The sequence below is a fragment of the Homo sapiens genome, chromosome 7 (genome assembly GCF_000001405.40).
Source record: "Homo sapiens chromosome 7, GRCh38.p14 Primary Assembly".
Taxonomy (NCBI): Eukaryota; Metazoa; Chordata; class Mammalia; order Primates; family Hominidae; genus Homo; species Homo sapiens.
This window is the reverse complement of record NC_000007.14, coordinates 95834827-95854944: the sequence shown is the minus strand read 5'-3', so window position 1 is coordinate 95854944 and position 20118 is coordinate 95834827. Positions and strand designations below refer to the sequence as shown.

General features: G+C 38.2%; 1 protein-coding gene across 5 annotated transcripts in view, besides 1 other annotated feature; it reads right to left on the bottom strand.

Annotated features, from left to right (window-relative positions):
* DYNC1I1 (dynein cytoplasmic 1 intermediate chain 1) overlaps positions 1–20118 on the bottom strand; it is a 337769-nt gene that overhangs the window by 255378 nt on the left and 62273 nt on the right. The window lies entirely within an intron of this gene.
* Positions 17263–17879: an enhancer, noted in NCBI's record as "H3K27ac-H3K4me1 hESC enhancer chr7:95466378-95466994 (GRCh37/hg19 assembly coordinates)". NCBI's record gives its function as "activates a minimal SCP1, AML or CMV promoter by ChIP-STARR-seq in naive H9 embryonic stem cells {active_cell/tissue: H9 hESC(naive)}" and the evidence as "EXISTENCE:reporter gene assay evidence [ECO:0000049][PMID:30033119]".

Genomic DNA, 20118 nt, shown 5'->3' with positions numbered 1-20118 from the left:
CCTATCACCAAGCTTTGGCCAATAAAAGGTAGCCAACTGTTTATATTGTGCTCAATTGTGGCATGCTGAGCTATAGCCAATTCATCTGTTTCTGTACCTCACTTCCATTTTCTGTACGTCACTATTTTTTTTGTGTCTGTAAATCCTCTCCAATCATGCAGCAGCATAAAGTTGCTCTGAATCTATTCTGGTTGAGGGGCCTACCTGATTTGTGAACTGTTCGTTGCTCAATTAAACTGTATTAAATTTAATTTGTGTTAAATCTTTATTTTAACACGAGTAACACAAAAACATCTGAAACTAAGAAACTCACTGTTAAAAGTGAGTTAAGTGCACAGTCAAATTCAGAATAATCTAATACTGCAATGGTGGTGTGTAAATCACTAACATTTTTAACATGAAGGTTAAAAGAAAAACTATTAAAAATAACAAGAGAAACAATAATTTGTTAAGGGATATGCAATATAAGAAAATACATATTGTGACACAGAGTCAAAATGTGGGAGGAGAGTGTAGTAAAAGTACAGAGTTTTCTTCTTGCAATCAAAATTCAGTTGTTATCACCTTAATATAATATAAACTATCTATACCTATGTTTGCTGTAAGCCTCATGGTAACCACAAAGCAAAAACCTATAGTAGATACACAAAAAATAAAAAGCATGAAATAAAAACATACCACCAGAGAAAATCACTTAACTACAAAGGAACACAGCAAGACAGGAAGAAAAGAACAGAGGGTCTACAAAACAAGTAAAAAATAATTAACAAAATGTTAGTAGAATATTTGTATCTATCAATTATTATCTTGAATATAAATGGATTAAATTCTCCAATCAAAAGACATAAGTGGCTGAATGGATAAAAAATACGCTGCCTACAAGAGACTCACTTCACTTGTAAGGACACACACAGACTGAAAGTGAAGAGATGAAAAAATATATATTCCATGCAAATATAAACCAAAAGAGGGAGGAGTAGCTATACATGTTAGACATGTTAAAATAGACTTTAAGTCAAAACGTAAAAAGAGACAAAGAAGGTCATCATATGAGGATAAAGGGATCAATTCCACAGTTGTTATATCCATAACATTTATAAATGTATATGGACCTGACATGGGAATATCTACATATAGAAAGCAAATATTAATAGATCTGAAGAGAGAGATAGGCTGCAATAAAATAATCGTAGGGGACATCAACATCCCACTATTGGCAGACAGAAAATCAATAAAGACACATAAGGTTTAAATTACACAATAGACCAAATAGACCTAGCAGACATAAACAGAACATTCCATCCATCAGTTGTAGGATATACATTCTTCTCAACTGCACATGGAACATTTTCTAGAAAAGATCATTGTTAGGCCACAAAAAAAGTCCTAATAAATCTAATGTCTTACTTTATTTTGTGCTATTATAACAGAATACCACAAACTGGCTAATTTATAATGAACAGCAATTTATTGGCTCACAGTTCTGGAGGCTGGGATGTCTAAGATTGAGGATCAAGGGACCAAATATGGCAAGAGCTTTCTTGCCATGTCATCCCCTGGTAGACGGGCAAGAAGAGGGTAAGAGAGACAAAGGGGAGCTGAACTTGTCCTTTTATAAGGAATCCACTCTTATAATAACAAACCCATTCCCATGATAATGACATTTATCTGTTCATGAAGGAAAGGCTCTCATGACCTAATGACCTCTTAAAGATCTCACTTCTTAATACTGTCACAATGGCAATTAAATTTCAACATGAGTTTAGGAGACAAACATTTAAACCATAGCATCTAAAAAAACTAAAATCTTATCAAGTATCTTTTCTGTCCACAATGGTATAAAACTAGAAGTCAATAACAGAAGGAATTTCAGAAAATTCACAAATAAATGAAAATTAAACAATACCCTTCTGAGCAACCAAAGGGTCAAAGAGGAATTAAAAGAGAAATGTAAAAATTTCTTGAGACAAACAAAAATGGAAACACAACGCACAAAAACATGGAATAAAAGTTTATAGCAATAAATATCTACATCAAAAAAGAAGAAATTAAATAATCTAATGTTTCACCTTAAGGAACTAGAGAAACAAGAACAAATGAAGCTCAAAGTTAATAGAAGGAAATAAAAATTAGAGAAGACACCGGGTGCGGTGGCTCACGCCTGTAATCCCAGCACTTCAGGAGGCCAAGGCAGGCAGATCACCTGAGGTCAGGAGTTCAAGACCACCTGGCCAAAATGGTGAAACCCCATCTCTACTAATAACACAAAAATCAGCTGGGTGTGGTGGCGGGCACCTGTAATCCTCGCTACCCGGGAGGCTGAGGCAGGAGAATCGCTTGAACCCAGGAGGCAGAGGTTGCAGTGAGCCAAGATTGTGCCATTACCTCCAGCCTGGGCGACAAAGTGAGACTCCATCTCAAAATAATAATAATAATAAATAAATTAGAGAAGAAAAATAAAGACTAGAAAAACAGTACAAAAGATTGATGAAGAATTAATGTTTTTGAAAAGATAAAATTGACAAACTTTTAGCTGGGCTAACTAAGGAAAAAAGAGAAGACTTAAATAAAATCAAAAATATAAAAGAAGATATTATAACTGGTAAAACATAAATACAAAGAATCATAAAAGACTATTATGAACAATTATATGACAACAAATAGAATAACCCAAAAGAAATGGATAAATTCCTTGACATCTACAATCTATCAAAAAATTAATTACGAAGAAACAGAAAATCAGAAGAGGCCAATAATGAGTAAGGAGATTGAATCAGTAATAAAGAAGTCTCCAATCAAAGAAAAGCCCAGGGCTTTTTACTTTCACTGCTGAATTGTAACAAACATTTAAAGAAGAACTAATAGCAATTTTTTCTCTGTTGCAAAAAACTGAAGAGAGGGACACTTCCAGGCTCATTTTATGAAGCCAGCATTACCCTGATACCAAAGCCAGATAAGAATGTTATTGAAAAAAGAAAACTGGCTGGGCATGGTGGCTCACACCTGTAATCCCAGCACTTTGTGAGGCCAAGGAGGGCGGATCACCTAAGGTCAGGAGTTCAAGACCAGCAAGACCAACATGGAGAAACCCCGTCTCCACTAAAAATACAAAATTAGCCAGGCGTGGTGGCACATGCCTCTAAACCCAGCTAGTTGGGAGGCTGAGGCAGGAGAATCACTTGAACCCAGGAGGCAGAGGTTGCAGTGAGCCGAGATCATGACATTGCACACCAGCCTGGGCAACAAGAGCGAAACTCTGGTCTAAAAAAAAGAAGACTATAGTCATATATCTCTGATGAACACAGATGCAAAAATCCTCAACAAAATACTAGCAAATCAAATTCAATAGCACACTATAAAGACCATTCACTATGATTAAGTGGGATTCATCCCAGAGATGCAAAGATAGTCCCATGAACGCAAATCAATACAGTAGCCCCTCTTTATCCAAGGTTTTGCTTTCCATAGTTTCAGTTACCCACAGTCAACTGTGATCTAAAAATATTAAACACAAAATTCCAGAAATAAACAATTCATAAGTTTTAAATTGCACCCTGTTCTGAATAGCATGATAAAATCTTGCGCTGTCCCACTTCACCCTGCCTGGGACATCAATCATCCCTTTGTCCAGCATATCCATGCTGTATATGCTACCCACAAATGAGTCAGTTAGTATTCATCTCAGTTATCAGATCAAATGTTGTGATATTGGCCAGGCATGGTGGCTCATGTCTGCAATCCCAACACTTTGGGAGGCCAAGGCTGGAGGATTGCTTGAGGCCAGGGGTTTGAGACCAGCCTGGGCAACAAAGTGAGACCTCTTCTGTTCAAAAAATCAAAAAATTAGCCAGGTGTGTAGGGTACGCTGTGGTCCCAGCTGCACGGCAGGCTGAGGCAGGAGGATCGCAGGAGGTTGAGGTTGCAGTGGGCTGCATTCACAAACACTGTACTCCAGCCTGGGTGACAGAGTGAGACCCTGTCTCAAGGAAAAAAAAAAGTTGTGGTATTACAGTGCTTCTGTTCAAGTAACCCTTATTTTACTTAATAATGGCCCCAAAGCACAAGAGTAGTGATGCTGGCAATTTGCTTATGTCAAAGAGAAACTGTAAAACGTTTCATTTATGTGAAAAGGTACACATTCTCAATAAGGAAAGAAGAAAAATCACATGGTGGGGCTGCTAAGTTCTATGGTAAGAATGAATCGTTTATCTGTGAAATTGTGAAGAAGGAAAAGGAAACCCTTGCTAGTTTTGCTGACAGATCTTAAACTGCAAAAGTTATGGCCACAATGCATGACACATGCTTAGTTAAGATGGAAAAGGCATTACATTTGTGTGTGTGGCAGGCAAACATGAACAGAAACATGGTCTGACTGGTAATTGGGCTCAGTACTATCCATGGTTTCAGGCATTCACTGACAGTCTTGAAACATATCCTCCACATAGAAGAGAGGACTACTATAAATGTACAAAAACTTTTATGATCATTTCAATAGATGCAAAAAGAGCAGTTGGCAAAATTCAATACCCTTTCATGATAAAAACCCTCAATAAATTAGGTATAGAAGGAATGCACCTCCACATAAAAAGGCCATATATGACAAACCCACAGCAAACATCATACTCAATAGGGAAAAGTTGGAAGCTTTTCCTTAAAGATCTGGTACAAGGCAAAGATATGCAGTTTTGCTACTTCTATTCAGCATAGTCCTGGAAGTCCTAGCAAAACAATTAGGCAAGAGAAAGAAACAAAAGGGATCCAAATCTGAAAAGAATAAGTTAAATTGCTCCCATTTGCAGACAACATAATCTTTTATATAGAAAACCCTAAAGACTTCACTAAAAAACCTTCAGAAATAATAAACAAATGCCGTTAACTTGTAGGATGAAAAGTCAATATACAAAAATTAGTAGCATTTCTACACACTAACAGTGAACTGAGTAAAAAATCAAGAAAACAATTTACAATAGAGACCAAAATAACACAGCACTTAGGAATAAATCTAACAAAGATAAAAGATCTCTATACTGAAAACTATAAAATACTGATGAGAGAAATTGAAGAAGACACAAATAAATTGATAGATATTCCATGCTTATGGATTGGAAGAATTAATATTGTCAAAATGCCCATATTACTCAAAGTGACCTACAAATTCTATGTAATCTCTATCAAAATACCAGCGAAATTTTTTACAGAACTAGGAAAAACGATCCTAAAATTCATATGAAACCACAAAAGACCCCAAACAGTTAAAGCAACATTGAGCAAAAAGAACAAAGCTGAAGGCATCACACTACCTGACTTCAAAATATACTACAAACCTTAAGTAATCAGAACAGCATGGTACTGGCATAAAAACATACATACAGACCAATGGAACAGAACTGAGAGCCCACAAATAAATCTACACATTTACAGCCAACCAATTTTTTTTATGCAGGTGGCAAGAACACACTATAGGGAAAGAACAGTCTTTGCAACAAATGGTGTTGGAAAACTGGATATCCACATGCAGAAGAATAAAATTAGACCTTTATCTTACACCATATCCAAAAAACTCCCTCAAAATTGATTAAAGACTTAATTGTAAAATATGAAACTACTATAAGAAAACCTAACAAGAAAGCTCCGTGACATTGTTCTGGACAAGGATTTTTGGGAAATGACCTCAAAAGCACATGCTGCAAAAGCAAAAACAGACAAATGGAGTTACATCAAACTAAAAAGCTTCTCAACAGAAAAAGAAACAATCAACAGAATAAAGAGACAATGTACAAAATGGGAGAAAATATTTGCAAACTTACATCTGATTAAGGGATAATATCCAAAATATATAAGGAACTCAATTTAATAGCAAGAAAACAATAACCAGATTTTGAAATGGGCAAAGGATCTGAGTAGACATCTCTTTAAAGAAGACATACAGATGGTCAATGAGTATCTGAAAAAATGCTCAACATCATTAATCATCAGGGAAATGCAAATTAAAAACTACAATGAGCTATCACCTTATACATGTTAGAATGGCTATGATCAGAAGGACAAAAGACAGCAAATATTGGCAAGATTGTGGAGAAAAGGGAATCCTTGCACACAGTTGGTGGTAATGTACATTAGTATAGCCATTATGGCAAACAGTATAAATGTTACTCAAAAATTAAAAATAGAACTTCTGTATGATCCAGCAATCCCACTACTAGATAAATATCCAATGAAAATAAAATAAGCATGTCAGAGAGGTATTTGTACCCCCATGTTCACTGCAGTATCATTCACAATAGCCAAGATATGAAATCAACCTATGTGTTTATCAAAAGATGAATAGGTAAGGAAAATGTGGCTTACACAATGGAATACTATTCAGCCATAATAAAGACAATCCTGTCATTTGCAACGATATAGATGAACCAGGAGAGCATTTTGTTAAGTGAAATAAGCGAGGTACAGAACAACAAGTACTGTATGAGTTCACTCATGTGGAATCTTAAAAAGTTCATGTCATAAAGTAGACAGTAGGAAGGTAAGGTTATCAGGGGCTGGGGCAGTTGAGGAAGGAAAGATGGGAGATGTTGGTCAAAGGATACAAAATTTCAGCTATACAGGAAAAGTAAGTTCAAGAGATCTATTGTATAACATGATGACTATAGGTAATAACAGTATACAGATGTTTCTGAACTTACAATTGGGTTTCATTCCAATAAACCCATTGTAAAGTTAAAAAAAAAAAAAAAAACAACTGTAAGTCAAACACCAGTGTAAATCAGGGACCATTTGTATTGTGTTACTGAAAAATGGTAAGACGGTGGATGTTAAGTGTTCTCACCATAACTATGATAACTATGTGAGGTAATGCATATGCTAATTAGCTATATTTAGTTACTCCACAATGCATATATAATTCAATACATCATGCTGTAGATGGTAAATACATACAATTTTATTTGTAAATTAAAAAATAAAGTCAAAAAAAGAAGAAAAGGTAGCATATAATAAGAGCCAACATGGGTGAGTCACATAATAAGTAAGGCAGGAGAGTATAATGGGTGGATTATTGTGGATAAGTGAAATAGAATTTCATAGAGAATAGAAGCTCTGGTGTGAATTTCAAGGATAGGCAGGAATCAGTTAAGTGGAAAGGAATGGGGACAATATCCTAGCGAGATCTCCTGGCATATACAAAGATCTGGAGACTAAATTCACATTTTATGTCTGAGAGACAAGGTTTTCAGAATATAAGTTTTGATTTGAGAGCAAGAGAAGATAAATTTAGAGAGGTATATTGAGGCCAGATTAGTAGAGGGTTTTAAGTATCAGGTTAAAGAATTTGGACTTTATGCTGTAGACAGTGAGGAGTTATTAAAAGTTGCTGGGTAAGAAATTGACAGCTGCAAGACAACATTTAAAACATGTTTGTATAGAAACTATGTAAAAAAATATAGTCTAAACCCTTCTCTGACAAATGAGGGGCCAATGTTAGGTGTGGAAAGTCACTGGACCTTAGAAGCTGAGGGTGGAGAAAATGGAATTGAGAAACAACCTACAAGCAAAGGCGGATGGTTGGGTAGGTTTAGGAACAAAACCGAATCTAGGATAAACAATTCAAAGGGAGCAGCCAGAGAAAAGATCTGTGATTGATGGTCTAACGAAGTGTGGAGATTTGGTCCAGGGTGACGAGAAAGCACTAAGTGGCAACAGCACTGGAATGGAAAGAATGCTGCAAATTGGAGACTTTGGAAAAGAATTTAGGACAGATCTTAGTTTACTTGATATGGAGGGTGAAGAAAAGGAAACAAATTAGAGATTATTTCAAAGGTTCACACCATGTAGGAAGAAAAGTGACTGGTGTAACTGGAAGACATAAAGAAATCTAGAGAAATACCTTTTCTTTGGGGTTAACAAAATGCATACTTGGTGGATGAGTTTGTGATAAGGGCTTTTCTGATCATAAGAAATGCAGGACCAAAGGTCAGAGAAGACAAAATTCAAAATGAGGACCTGGGAGCCACCCAATGGAGTCATAGAGAAAATGTTGGATCTATAGAAAAAGAGAATGTAGAAAGCTAATGGCACAGGAACTCATGTAATATGACAGACATTTTACAATGACAGAGTTAATTTGTTTTTCAACTACTGAATTCTAATGTACTGAGGTGTCAAGGTGTAACATCTGAAGGACTGATTCTTAGAGAGTTGGGTATGGGATACCACATGGAGGAATGGTGAGCATGGGGCACCACACTGAGGACATGAACCTGGCCTTGTGGCCCCCTTCGTCACACACACACACACACACACACACACACACACACACACAGAGAGAGAGATTTATCATTTATGTTCAGAATGGGTATTTTTCTCCAAGTACTGGGAAACAGCTTGATGGTTGACTTTTTCTGACTACTTCAAGAAGGATGAGCTTCCATTCTTCTATGTTCACATTTAAAAAGTCATTTTAGGAAGTATTTATTTCATTTCCATGGTATTTGCTTCTTACTGTGCAGAGATATTAGTTTGGCAGCAAAAGCATTTTTCCTGAACAGAAGCAAATGTCAAGTCTGGCTCAATCAATAGGCACAACCAAAGGGTTAGCTTTGAATTTCATAACACAAGTAAATTTCTAGGATGAGAGAAGAATCAAAATAGTCATGATTATAATAGAACTTGGCAACACTGGAAGAGGTTCTGCTATTAAGGGCTCACTTTACAAAGGACATTAAAAGTTCAGAATAGTAAGGATGGAAGGTACAGAAGTGTGTTTTCTCCAATAATATATATAAATGACAATGATTATATTAAAAATTATATAGGAATGACCTTTTACTACCTTGATACTTATGAAAAAGCTTCCATAGAATTTGTACCAACATAAAACTATAAAATTATAGAATTCTTCAAGTCACTGGGTACCAAAGTATAAGCACACCTCCTTAACAATTGGCCTACATCTTTCTGAAATTGAATGAAAAAGAAATATTGTTCTTTGAAAATCCAGTTGCTACTATGGAATGGAAAATGCCCTATAATTGCTTACTCAAGATTCTTGAGGGTAGAGAACAAACACTTGGTGATAGAAGCTTCTCAAGAAATGTTTGGGGACAAATAAATGATTATTACAAATGGTGAGCAAAATGCTTCCTTCCTCTCTTGTGACAAAATTTTGATTGGTTCTGTTAAAACCAATTTATAACAGTTCTTCATGGGTCAGAATATAAATCTATATTTATAGATTCTGAAATACATTTTGCTACTACATTTTGATACACATACATATTACAAGATGCTGTTTCATATTTCAATTTCTGTGGAAAGTGTGATTGAGTGTTACTGAAGAGGCAGAGGTTGTCAACTTGCTCAAAGAATTCAACTGGCATTATTCTCAAGAACATACCAGGCATTGTTACATGACAAACCTTGAAAATTAATTCAAATCAGATATCTAAACTTAATGCATACGAATATTTGACAAAGCTTGGAGAATAAGCCAAATGAAGGTCTTTCTTCATTAAAGGCTAATGGGGTTACATCTGTTCTGTTAGGCAAATGGCAATAACTTTAAAATGTAAAAAGACCTCTAGAACTTTCCTAGTTAGATTTTCTGTAATACCTACCACCATCCTGAGGATTATATGCTTCTCTCATTTCTTTATATAGTTGGTTTTACTTCTATTCTTGACAGAGTGATCTCTTTATTTCACCATAGCAGTTTGGAATGGTGCCTGGTAGACTCTAGAGTAATACACATTCTCTCTTTCAGCCAAGAATGCAAAGAAGACAGTTTAGAGAAAGAAGAGGTCACCACCTACTAGTGAAACCACCTTTGCAAAAATTATAACAGTGAGAAAATTATGACAGTGAAAGAGATCTGATCTGACCAACTCTCATCTTGCCTTTAACCTTCAAACTGTACTTGGTCATTCCTGGGCTTGGGCCAAACTACTTTGGAATAAATTTAGCTTATAGTTTAAATGAAAATAGCCATTTCCCAAAATTATACTACTGTTATAAACTAATGAAAGGTCATCAGGTTAGGAAAATGAGAGGGGCCTGAATTCTGCTAAGATGTAGGGATAGTTAAACGATTACCAGCCATTATTCTGGAGGTCACAAGATTTGCAGCTTCCCCAATTCACTACTGTACAATCTAAGATTGGCCTTTTAAAATGTCTTTTTAGGCTTCTGCATTTCTGACAATCTGATGGCACCACCCAGACCCTGGACTCTTGGTTCCACCAGTCCGTCCTGGGGCCCCCACCCAGAAAACAGACTCAGTGGTTGAGGACCATTTTCCACACCCCTACGATTGCACCCCCAACCAATCAAAAGAACCCATTCCTCTAACCCCCCGCCGCCCGACCCACTAAACTATCCTTAAAACACCCTAGTCTCCGAATTTTGCAGGGGACTATGTGAGTAGTAACTCTGTCTCCCATGTGGCATAGCAGGCCTTCATCAATTAAATTCTTTACTGCAATGCCTTGGTCTCAGTGAACTGGTTTTGTCTGTGCAGCAGGCAGGAAGAATCCACTAGGCAAGTACATTAACAGTGTCTCTCAAACATTGAAAATAAAATCTAAGTTCTTTCTTCTGTGAAGGAACAGCCAAATCCTTGCTCACAGCTTCATGGTTTTCCTTCATTCTCTTTGCTTCCTAATATTTTTAAAAACTCTATCAAGAGTTTGATATACTAATACGTAAAGGAAATATAATCACGAGGCTTCTGAAGCCAATAAATATTCTATAAGGTACTAGGTTTAATAATTTGGAGTGAAGGGCCACAAAATACCCTCATTGCTCATTGTTATCTATATAAAGTTGAGAATCTTTTCTTCTCTCCCAGCCCTGCTCTTCTTATGTTGTTCTCAGCCCATCTTCTGGAAGACTGGTAATCTCATGGGAATATTTGCATTTATGTTCTCTTCATAAGACACACCAAAAAACATTTTAAACATAATCCCTCCCTCAAATTTTCCCATTGCAGTTCCAAATTTCAATGACATATTTATTCACTTCCAAGCTATATTAGTTCTTTCTCTCCTGTGATCCTTTAACTTACTCTTTTTATCCTGTTATTTCATCTTTCCCTTTCAGTATCTTCAATTCACCTAATCTATTATAATGGCCTAAGAAAGAAAGCAAAGCATTTTTGGTACTTCCGTATGTATTTGCCTGGTAAAAAGACAAGTTGAGTTGCACTTATTTTCTCATTTTATTTACAATTTTCTTGAAGTCATTTTTTTTTCTGAAAGCCATATCATCTCCCTTTTTTCTCTCTGCTGCCATTTGCTTTGCTAATCACATAGTTAACATACAAACCAGAATCAAGTGACACATTTGTGTTTCCGGCCAAAATGGAGTAATAGAGACCAAATTTACCCAGAAACCTGAAATTTAAAATATGTAATGCTGAATAAAACAACTTACAGGCCACTAGAGGTCAGGCAATGAGGAACAGTGATACATGAGGGAGGGACACAAGTAAGAGGAGCCCTACAACTGCCCCAAGTTACAGCATTGAGAGAGTTTCCAGGCCATGGTGTAGGGAGGAAACTCAGGTGAAATCCAGCAGACTCTCTAAGTTGTAGAGACAGAGTTGAGAGTCCAGGGAGACCAGGCAGTTAGAATTCACAGGAAAATACGGCAGAGAGAAGAAATCTGCACAAAAGAAAACTCAGAAGTTTGCCTTTGAGAATTCAGCTCAGCATTGATCAGTACATTTATGTGAAGAAACTACCTGAGGCCAAGGAAAGAATGATCTGGAAACAATTACAGATAACAGTTCTGGGCATTTACACAAGAATAAGAATAGTTTCTGTTCACGCCAGTCAAACTGGAAAACCTTAAGATTTATGGGGCAATGTGTAGAATACATGTAAGGGACTTGCTTCAGTAGCAGGAATTAGCCCTAAGCTGAGCACTGCTCCTGTCCCAACTAAAAAATCTTAAAAGCAAGACCTTAAAAGATAAAACTTGGTCAAAGTTAATTTACTATATCTCAGAACAAATCACAAGAAAATTATAGAAATTCAAGTATCTGAAACCTAAAAAAAAAAATTCACAATGTCTAATATAAATAAAAAATTACCAAACATGCAGGAGTACTTCAGCAAAAAAACAGAATAGGAGGCTGAGAACTCTCACTCCACCCATAGAGCATCAAATAAACAGCTATACATGAATCGACATCCTCTGAGAAAAATACAGAAACTAGTGGAGAGATTTCTGTATGTCGGATGGCTGAGAAAATTCCCACTTCAGCACAGGTAATGTAATGCCCAACCTTGTTTTTTCCTTCATTCACCTAGCCTTGTTTCTCCCTTAGCTAAGAGAACCAGACAAACTCCATCCTGGCTCTTTCACTGGCAGCCCCTTCCTCAAGGACTTAACTTGTGCAAGCTGACTCCCAGCACATCCAAGAATGCAATTAACTGATAAGATACTGTGGCAAGCTATATCTGCAGTCCCCAAGAATTCGTCTGATTGATAATGCCCAAAGCCCCACGTCTATCACCTTGTAATAGTCTTAAAGCCCCCGCACCTGGAACTGTTTACTTTCCTGTAACCATTTATCCTTTTAACTTTTTGACTACTTAACTTATGTAAAATTGTTCTAACTAGACCCCTCCCCTTCCTAAACCAAGGTATAAAAATTAATCAAGCCCCTTCCTAGGGGCCGAGAGAACTTTGGGCATTAGCTGTCTCTCCGTCCACGGCTAATAAAGGACTCTTAATTTGTCTCAAATGTGGCGTTTCCCTAACTCGCTCGGGTGCAACAGTAAGAAAAGCTGAGACATATTCTCACTCTCACCATAAACCCTACCCTCAGCCCAGCACTATACAATTGAGGGGAACCTCCATCTCTCAGTTTCTCCCTGAGGAGTAAAGGGTTTGAACCGTACACACAATACCCCAACTTTTAAAACCACTACCAGAGGAAATGATTCCTAACTTGCCTATCTCTGGAAGCCAATGGGGCCCAGCACTTATTAGACCCCTGGAATGGCAGAGAACAGAGGCAGCTTTAAACAGGCACTCAAGCATTTCCCATGCTTCTCCCCACTGGCTTAGCACACAGTGAGCAGGTGACAAAGCTCAGCTCCTAGCTTTTCCCTAGAAGGGGTTAGATTGCACATCAAAAGCCCTGACTTTTTCAGCTGCTGCCCAAGGGTCTGGCTTATAACAAGCCTGTATCTGGAAGTCAACAGGGCAGGCAATTACTAGTCCCCAGGGAGTTTAAATGGGTATGTAGGCACTTCCTACAGCTCCTTCCTCCAGCTCACTCTGGCAAAGAAACTAAACCTTTAGCTTCTTCCTGGAAGGAGTTGGACTACACAACAAATGCTCTGATTTTTTTCATCTGCTGCTTGGGAGTGTAGTTACTAACTCACCTAACTGGGGAGCTGATAGGGCCCAATATTCGCTGGTCACTTGGAGTCTCCAGAGAACAAAGCAGTGGTTTTGAATGGCCTTGCAGGCTCGTCCCATGACTCCTCCTGCCAGCTTATTTTACCAAAATGCACAGCTCTCAGATTCTCCCTGGGAGGGGTTACACTATACATCTAGTACCTTGACTTTTCCAGCTGCTACCCATGGATCTGGCTTCTGACTTGCCTGTTTCTTGGAGCTAACAGGGCAGGCAGTCACTAGTCACTGGGAGTTTAAATGAATGTGAGGATACTTCCCAGGGCTCCTCCCCACAAATCATTCCAGAAATAAAACCAAGCCTATAGCTTCTCCTTAGAAGAGCTTAAACTACCCATCTAGACCTTTAAATTTTCTAGTCGCTACCAGAGGGACTGGCCTCTAGCTTGTCTGTTCCAAGAACTGAGGGCCTAGCATTTACTAGACCCCCTAGAGGTGACAAAGAGTAAAGCAATGATTTAAAACAGCCTGCGTCTGAGTGAGCATTACAGGCATTTGCCACAGTTCCTCTTCCTGGCTCAGTGCAGAGCAAGTGGGTGATAAACTCCAGTTCCCAGCTTCTTCCTAAGGACATTAATATGCATTAAGGACAGCTGGAGATGCATAAGGAGAGCTGGAATAAATTGATGCATTAGAACACGTACCTAATGCATCATTTATTCCAACTGCTACTCAAGAGACTGGCTCCAATCTTGCCAATCTTAGGACTCTCTTAGGGTTTAGCATACTCTAGTACCCTGGGCCCACTAAGGAAACAGATGGCAGTTTGGAAGCACGAAGGAATAGGTAGCATCCAGAATCTCTAGCTAGCCTAATGGATGAAGATTGACTCTTATAGACATCAGTCTGTGAAGACTAAGAGAGGTGGTTGTTCTATAAAATGTGCAGAAACTAACACAAAGAATCAAAGAAAATGAAAATATGTTCCAAATAAAAGAACAAGATAAATCTTCAGAAACCTACCTTAATGAAATGGAGACATGTGATTTACCCAACAGAGAATTCAAAATGTTGATCATGAAGATGTTCACAATAGTTAGGAGAGAAATGCATGAACAATGTGAGAATCTTGACAAAGGGATAGAAAATATTTAAAAATACCAAATAGAAATAATAGACCTGAAGAATACAATAACTGAACTGAAAAATTCAATATGAGGTTTCAACAGCAGATTTGATTAAGCAGAAGAAAGGAGAAGTAAAGTCAAAGACAGCTCACTGGAAATCCTCTAGTCAGAGGAGCAAAAAGGAAAAAAAAAGAATAAAAAACAGTGAAGATATATTAAGAGAATTACAGGGTAACATCAAGTGGCAATATATGCATTATGAAACTCACAGAAGGAGAACCAGAAAACTCATTCAGAGAAATAATGGCTGAAAAATTCCCAAACCTGGGGAAGGAAATAAGACATCCAGATTCAGGAAGCCCAAAGAACACCAAGAACACCATATAAGATAATCCCAAAGATGCCCAAACCAAGGACATATTATAAATAAATTGTCAAAAGTTAAAAGCAAAGAGAGGATTTTGAAAACAAGAAAATGGCTACTTGCTATCTACCTGAGAACCCTCATAAGACTATAAGCCGATTTTTCAATAGAAATCATGCAGGCCAGAAGGGAGTGTGTGATATATTCAAAGTGCTGAAAGAAGAAAAAAAAAACCTGCCAATCAAGAATACAATACCAGGCAAACCTGTCCTTCAGAAATGAAGGGGGCAATAAAGCCTTTCTCAGACAAACAAAAGCTAAGAGAGGTTACCATCACTAGTTCTGACATACAAAAAAATGCTAAAGAAAGTTCTTCAACTTGAAATGAAAGGATTCTAAACAGCAACACAAAAACATAAGAAAGTATAAAATCTGTTGTTAAAGGTAAATATATAGACAAAAACAGAAGACTACATTGTTATAAAGGTGGTGGGTAAACAGCTTTTGGTTCAAATATAAAAGTAAAAAGACAAATGAATTAAAAATGACTATAACTAAATTATGTAAATGGACACACATTCTAAACAGATATGAACTGCAACACCAATTGCACATAATGTGGGGGGAAATGAGATAAAAATGTAGAGTTTTCGTATGCAAGAGAAAATGCTATCAGCTCACTATAATAAATTTTATGTAAGTCCCATAATAACCACAAAGAAAATACTTATAGAAGTTACATAGAAGAAAAAGAGAAAGGAGGCTGGGTGCAGTGGCTCACATCTGTAATCCCAGCACTTTAGGAGGCTGAGGTGGGTGGATCACCCGAGGTCAGGAGTTTGAGACTAGCCCGGCCAACATGGTGAAACTGCATCTCTACTAAAAATACAAAAATTAGCCAGGCATGGTGGCGCATGCCTATAGTCCCAGCTACTTGGGAGGCTGAGGCAGGAGAATTGCTTGAACCTGGGAGGCGGAGGTTGCAGTGAGCCAAGATCGCACCACTGCACTCCAGCCTGGGTGATAGAGCAAGACTCTGTCTCAAAAAATAAAAAGAAAAAGAGAAAGGAAACCAAAGCTACTATTCAACCTAATACTGGAAGTCTTAGCCAGATAAATTAGACAGAAAAAGAAATACATGTCATCCAAATAAGACAGAAGTAAAATGTCTCTTTTTGTAGATGACATGACCTTGTACGTAGGAAACTTTATAGACTCCACAAAAATTAATGCAAAAATTAAGTGTTTCTCTACACCAACAATGAACTATCTGAAAAAGAAATCAAGAAAGCATTTCCACTAATAATAGCATCAGAAAGAAAAAAACTTAGATTTAACCAAGGTGAAAAATCTCTACATAAAAGAACTATGAAGCATTTATGAAAAAAAATTGAAGACAAAGAAATGAAAAGACATTGTATGTTCATGGATTACACAAAACAATATTATTAAAATGTCCATACTGCCTAGAGCAGTCTACAGATTCAATAAAATCTCTACCAAAACTTAAATGATATTTTTCATAGAAATAGGAAAAAAATCTTAAAATTCATATGGAACCCCAAAAGACCTTGAATAACCAAAGCAATCTTTAGAAAGGTATTCTCAAGAGGTATCACACTGCTTGATTTCAAATTATACTACAAAACTATATTAATCAAAACAGTATGGAACTGTAACAAAAACAGGCATATAGGTCAGTGGGACAGAATGGAGATTCCAGAAATTAACTCACACATCTACAGTCAACTAATTTTCCATAATACAGACAAGAATACAAAATGGAAAAATGATAGTCTCTTCAATTCACGGTGTTGGGAATACTAAATATCCATATTTGAAAGAATGAAATTGGATCTTTATATCACACACATACATGTACACACAAAAAAAACTCAAAATGGATAAAAGATATAAATGTAAGACCTGCAACTATACAACTCCTAAAAGAAAATGTAAGAAATGAGATTTTCGACATTGGCCTTGGCAATGATTTTTTAGATATGACACCAAAAGCACAGGCAACAAAGGCAAAAGTAGACAAGCGGGACTACAGCAAGCTAAAAAGCTTCTGCACAATAAGAAAACAACCAGGACCAGGAGGAGCCAAGATGGCCGAATAGGAACAGCTCTGGTCTACAGTTCCCAGCGTGAGCGACGCAGAAGACGGGTGATTTCTGCATTTCCATCTGAGGTACCGGGTTCATCTCACTAGGGAGTGCCAGACAGTGGACGCAGGTCAGTGGGTGCGCGCACCATGCGCGAGCCGAAGCAGGGTGAGGCATTGCCTCACTGGGGAAGCACAAGGGGTCAGGGAGTTCCCTTTCCTAGTCAAAGAAAGGGGTGACGGACGGCACCTGGAAAATCGAGTCACTCCCACCCGAATACTGCGCTTTTCCGACAGGCTTAAAAAAGGGGGCACCACGAGATTATATAACGCACCTGGGTCGGAGGGTCCTACGCCCACGGAGTCTGGCTGATTGCTAGCACAGCAGTCTGAGATCAAACTGCAAGGTGGCAGCGAGGCTGGGGGAGGGGCGCCCGCCATTGCCCAGGCTTGCTTAGGTAAACAAAGCAGCCGGGAAGCTCGAACTGGGTGGAGCCCACCACAGCTCAAGGAGGCCTGCCTGCCTCTGTAGGCTCCACCTCTGGGGGCAGGGCACAGACAAACAAAAAGACAGCAGTAACCTCTGCAGACTTAAATGTCCCTGTCTGACAGCTTTGAAGAGAGCAGTGGTTCTTCCAGTACGCAGCTGGAGATCTGAGAACGGGCAGACTGCCTCCTCAAGTGGGTCCCTGACCCCTGACCCCCGAGCAGCCTAACTGGGAGGCACCCCCCAGCAGGGGCACACTGACACCTCACATGGCAGGGTACTCCAACAGACCTGCAGCTGAGGGTCCTGTCTGTTAGAAGGAAAACTAACAAACAGAAAGGACATCCACACCAAAAACCCATCTGTACATCACCATCATCAAAGACCAAAAGTAGATAAAACCACAAAGATGGGGAAAAAACAGAACAGAAAAACTGGAAACTCTAAAAAGCAGAGCGCCTCTCCTCCTCCAAAGGAATGCAGTTCCTCACCAGCAACGGAACAAAGCTGGACGGAGAACGACCTTGACGAGCTGAGAGAAGAAGGCTTCAGACGATCAAATTACTCTGAGCTACGGGAGGACATTCAAACCAAAGGCAAAGAAGTTGAAAACTTTGAAAAAAATTTAGAAGAATGTATAACTAGAATAACCAATACAGAGAAGTGCTGAAAGGAGCTGATGGAGCTGAAAACCAAGACTCAAGAACTACGTGAAGAATGCAGAAGCCTCAGGAGCCAATGCAATCAACTGGAAGAAAGGGTATCAGCAATGGAAGATGAAATGAATGAAATGAAGCAAGAAGGGAAGATTAGAGAAAAAAGAATAAAAAGAAATGAGCAAAGCCTCCAAGAAATATGGGACTATGTGAAAAGACCAAATCTACGTCTGACTGGTGTACCTGAAGGTGACGGGGAGAATGGAACCAAGTTGGAAAACACTGTGCAGGATATTATCCAGGAGAACTTCCCCAATCTAGCAAGGCAGGCCAACGTTCAGATTCAGGAAATACAAAGAACGCCACAAAGATACTCCTCGAGAAGAGCAACTCCAAGACACATAATTGTCAGATTCACCAAAGTTGAAATGAAGGAAAAAATGTTAAGGGCAGCCAGAGAGAAAGGTCGGGTTACCCTCAAAGGGAAGCCCATCAGACTAACAGCGGATCTCTCGGCAGAAACCCTACAAGACAGAAGAGAGTGGGGGCCAATATTCAACATTCTTAAAGAATTTTCAACCCAGAATTTCATATCCAGCCAAACTAAGCTTCATAAGTGAAGGAGAAATAAAATACTTTACAGACAAGCAAATGCTGAGAGATTTTGTCACCACCAGGCCTGCCCTAAAAGAGCTCCTGAAGGAAGCGCTAAACATGGAAAGGAACAATTGGTACCAGCCACTGCAAAATCATGCCAAAATGTAAAGACCATCAAGACTAGGAAGAAACTGCATCAACTAACGAGCAAAACAACCAGCTAACATCATCATGACAGGATCAAATTCACACATAAGAATATTAACTTTAAATGTAAATGGACTAAATGCTCCAATTAAAAGATACAGACTGGCAAATTGGATAAAGAGTCAAGACCCATCAGTGTGCTGTATTCAGGAAGCCCATCTCACATGCAGAGACACACATAGGCTCAAAATAAAAGGATGGAGGAAGATCTACCAAGCAAATGGAAAACAAAAAAAGGCAGGGGTTGCAATCCTAGTCTCTGATAAAACAGACTTTAAACCAACAAAGATCAAAAGAGACAAAGAAGGCCATTACATAATGGTAAAGGGATCAATTCAACAAGAAGAGCTAACTATCCTAAACATATATGCACCCAATACAGGAGCACCCAGATTCATAAAGAAAGTCCTGAGTGACCTACAAAGAGACTTAGACTCCCACACATTAATAATGGGAGACTTTAACACCCCACTGTCAACATTAGACAGATCAATGAGACAGAAAGTCAACAAGGGTACCCAGGAATTGAACTCAGCTCTGCACCAAGCAGACCTAATAGACATCTACAGAACTCTCCACCTCAAATCAACAGCATATACATTTCTTTCAGCACCACACCACACCTATTCCAAAATTGACCACATACTTGGAAGTAAAGCTCTCCTCAGCAAATGTAAAAGAACAGAAATTATAACAAACTATCTCTCAGACCACAGTGCAATCAAACTAGAACTCAGGATTAAGAATCTCACTCAAAACCGCTCAACTACATGGAAACTGAACAACCTGCTCCTGAATGACTACTGGGTACATAACGAAATGAAGGCAGAAATAAAGATGTTCTTTGAAACCAACGAGAACAAAGACACAACATACCAGAATGTCTGGGACGCATTCAAAGCAGTGTGTAGAGGGAAATTTATAGCACTAAATGCCCACAAGAGAAAGCAGGAAAGATCCAAAATTGACACCCTAACATCACAATTAAAAGAACTAGAAAAGCAAGAGCAAACACATTCAAAAGCTAGCAGAAGGCAAGAAATAACTAAAATCAGAGCAGAACTGAAGGAAATAGAGACACAAAAAACCCTTCAAAAAATTAATGAATCCAGGAGCTGGCTTTTTGAAAGGATCAACAAAATACATAGACTGCTAGCAAGACTAATAAAGAAAAAAAGAGAGAAGAATCAAATAGACACAATAAAAAATGA